Below are 3694 nucleotides of genomic sequence, written 5' to 3' on the forward strand. Positions count from 1 at the left end.
CTGTGAGAGTGGATTCATCTACTTCTCCTTGCACTTCTATCAGTTTTGCCTCATGTATTTTGATGTTCTGTTGTTAGGTGCAAATATATTAAGAATCCACTGGCCGGGCGCTGTGGCTGTCACCTGTAATCCCAGCACTTTGAAAGGCTGAGGCAGTCAGATCACGAAGTCGAGATCAAGACCATCCTGGCCAACATGGTGAAACCCTGTCTCTACTAAAAATACAAAAATTAGCTGGGCGTGGTGGTGCACACCTGTAGTCCCAGCTACTCGGGAGGCTGAGGCAGGAGATTCTCTTGAACCCAGGAGGCGGAGGTTGCAGTGAGCCGAGATCGCACCACTGCACTCCAGCCTGGCGACAGATTGAGACTCTGTCTCAAAAAAAAAAAAAAAAAAAAAGAATTCATTAGGTCTTCTCAGAGGATTGACTCTTTTATCATTATATAATGCCCCTCTTTGTCTCTGATAACTTTTTCTTGCTCTGAAGTTCGTTCTGTCTGAAATTAATTTAGTGACTCATCTTTTTTTAATGTTAGCATGGCATATCTTTCTCTATCCATTTACTTTTAATATATATGTGTCTTTATATTTAAACTGGATTATTGGCAAACACAGCATATAATTTGAGTCTTGTTTTTGTTTGTTTGTTTTTCTTTTTGGATCCATTGTGACAATCTTTTAACTGACATTTAAAATGATTACTGTTGTAGTTGGGTTAATATCTTCTGCCATATTTTCACTGTTCTCTATTTGTTGTGCTTGTTCTTCATTCCTGTTTTTGTTCTCTCTTTTTATGCCTTTTGTGGTTTTAACTAAGCATTTAATATAATTCCATTTTCTCTCCTTTCTTAGTATATCAGTTGTACATCTTTTTTTACTTTAAGTGGTTGCCATGGAGTTTGCAATATACATTTACAACTAATTTAAGACCATTTTCAAATAACACTATACCACTTCAAGTACTTTTTAAGTAACAAAATAGTCCTATTCCTCCTTCCTATCCCTTGTATCATTGCTGTCATTCATTTCACTTACACATGGGCATACATAAATATATATGCATATGTAATTGAATACATTGCTGCTGTTATAAATTTGAACAGTGTTATCGAGTATCTCAAGAATAAGACAAAAGCTTTTCTTTTACCTTCACTGATTCCATAGCTAATGCTCTTCATTTGTGTAGAACTGAGTTTCTGACCTATATAATTTTCCTTCCCTCTAAAGAGCTTCCTTTAACATTTCTTGCAAAGCAGGTCTATTGACAAACAAATGTCCTCAATTTTTATCTGAGAAAGGCTTTATTTCTCCTTTACTTTGGAGAATAATTTCACAAGGTACAGAGCTTTAGTTTGGTGGTTTTTTCTCTCAACACTTTAAATATTTCACTCTACTCTCTTCTTGCATGTATGGCTTCTGAGGAGAAATCGGATGTAATTCTTTGTTCCTCCATAGGTAAGTGTGTTTTTCCTGTAACTTCTCTCAGGAATTTTCATTATCTTTGACTTTCTGTAATTTACATATGATATGTCTAAGTGTTCTTTGAGCTTCCTCGATCTGTAGTTTATTTTCCTGCATTAATTTGAAGGAAATTCTCAGACATTATTGCTTCAGGAATTTCTCGTGTTCCTTTCTTTCTTCTCCTGGTATTCCTCTTATGAGTATTTATGCCTTTTGTAGTTGTCCCAGAGTTCTTGGATATTCTGGTATTTTCCTAGTCTTTTTTTTTTTTTTTTCCAGTTTGGGTAGTGTCTAGTAAGATATCCTCAAGCTCAGAGATTCCTTCCTCAGCCAAGTTCGTTCTGTTAGTAAGCCTATTAGAGGCATTCTTCATTTCTGATACAGTGATTTTGATCTCTGGTATTTGTGTGTGTGTGTGTGTGTGTGTGTGTGTGTGTGTGTGTGTGTGTGTGTGTGTTTGGTTGTTTGTTTTTGAGACATAGTCTCACTCTGTCCAGGCTGGAGTACAGTGGCACAATCTCGGCTCACTGCAACCTCTGCCTCCCAGGTTCAAGATAATCTCCTGCCTCAGCTTCCTGAGTAGCTGGGATTACAAGTGGCCGCCAATACGCCCAGCTAATTTTTGTATTTTTTGTAGAGATGGGATTTCACCATATTGGCCAGGCTGGTCTTGAACTCCTGACCTCAAGTTATCTGCCCGCCTCAGCCTCCCAAAGTGCTGGGATTACAGGCATGAACCACCATGCCTGGCTGAGTATTTCTTTTTTATTATTTCTTAGAATTTCCTTCTCTCTACTTAAACTGCCCATTTCGGGATTGAGTTTATCTGTTAGCGTTCTTAGCCTATTAGTCATAGTTGTTTTAAATTCCTGATAATTCACACATCCCTGCCATATCTGGTTCTGATGGTTGCTCTGTCTCTTCAGATTGTGTTTTTTGCCTTTCAGTGTGCCTTGCAGTTTTTTTCTTGATAGCCAGACACGATGTACTGGGTAAAAGGAATTGCTTTAAATAGGACTTCAGGAACATGGTGGTAAGGTGTGGAGGGAGGGGAGCATTCTACAGTGTTGTGATTAGGTCTCAGTAGCAGAGGTCATATGTAATGGGAGCCCACAGGAGCCAAAATTCTGGGGGAAGGGAACCTTTGGAGCTGTGATTCTCAAGAGAATTAAAAAGTCTCTTTTGCTCGCTCGCTCTTGTGCTCTTTCTCTCACACAGATGTCAGTAAATTTGAAGATAAAAATTGTCCAATCTGAACAGAGAGAAAAAAATTTTGAATAAAAATGAACAGATCCATGGCCGGGCGCAGTGGCTCACGCCTGTAATCCCAGCACTTTGGGAGGCCGAGGCAGGCAGATCACCTGAGGTCAGGAGTTCAAAACGAGGCTGGCTAACATGGTGAAACCCCGTCTTTACTGAAAATACAAATATTAGCTGGACGTGGTGGCACGTGCCTATGGTCCCAGCTATCCAGGAGGCTGAGGCAGGAGAATTGCTGGAACCCACAAGGTAGAGGTTGCAGTGAGCCGAGATCATGCCACTGCACTCCAGCCTAGGGAACAGAGCGAGACTCCATCTCAAAAACAAACAAACAAAAACAGATCTATAGGCATCCATGAGACAATAACAAAATATCTAATTTATGTCACTGGAGTTGCAGTAAGAGAAGAGAAGGTATATGATTATGAAAAAAATTGGAAGAAGTAATGGCTGAAAACTCCCCATGTTTGGTGAAAGAAAAGTCCACAGATTCAAAAAGCTCAATGAGCCCCAAACAGGGTAAACTCAAAGAAATATGTTCCAAATGCATCACAGTAAAACTTGAAAATTAAAAATGAAGAAAAAATCTTGAAAGAAGCAAGAAACGGGCTTCAAGAATGACGCTCATGTTTATAATTTTGAAAATTAAGTGAATTGAAATGCCATTACCAAAAGAAGGAATAGAAAAACAGTAGGTTTCAGATGGGAAGATAATGAGTTTTAATTTGATGGGCCTTTGATATACACAACTGGAATTGCCCAGTAAGAAATTAAACATAAAAATTTGGAGCTCCAGGGAAATTCTGAACTGGAAATAAGGATGTTTAACGCATCACTGTAACTGGCACTGTGGAAACGGTATACAGAATAAGAAAAGGAGAAGTTAGGCTTCAGCTAGACTATGCAATAAGAACAAATCTTAAAATCTCAGCAGAAGAACTCAATGGAATTTTGTTTCTCACTCATAGCACAG

General features: G+C 38.8%; 1 protein-coding gene across 9 annotated transcripts in view; it reads left to right on the forward strand.

The window, feature by feature from the left end:
• The window catches only part of CCDC146 (coiled-coil domain containing 146), a 172590-nt gene that overhangs the window by 126494 nt on the left and 42402 nt on the right, over positions 1-3694 (forward strand). The window lies entirely within an intron of this gene.

Source organism: Homo sapiens, chromosome 7 (genome assembly GCF_000001405.40).
Source record: "Homo sapiens chromosome 7, GRCh38.p14 Primary Assembly".
NCBI classification, from domain to species: Eukaryota; Metazoa; Chordata; class Mammalia; order Primates; family Hominidae; genus Homo; species Homo sapiens.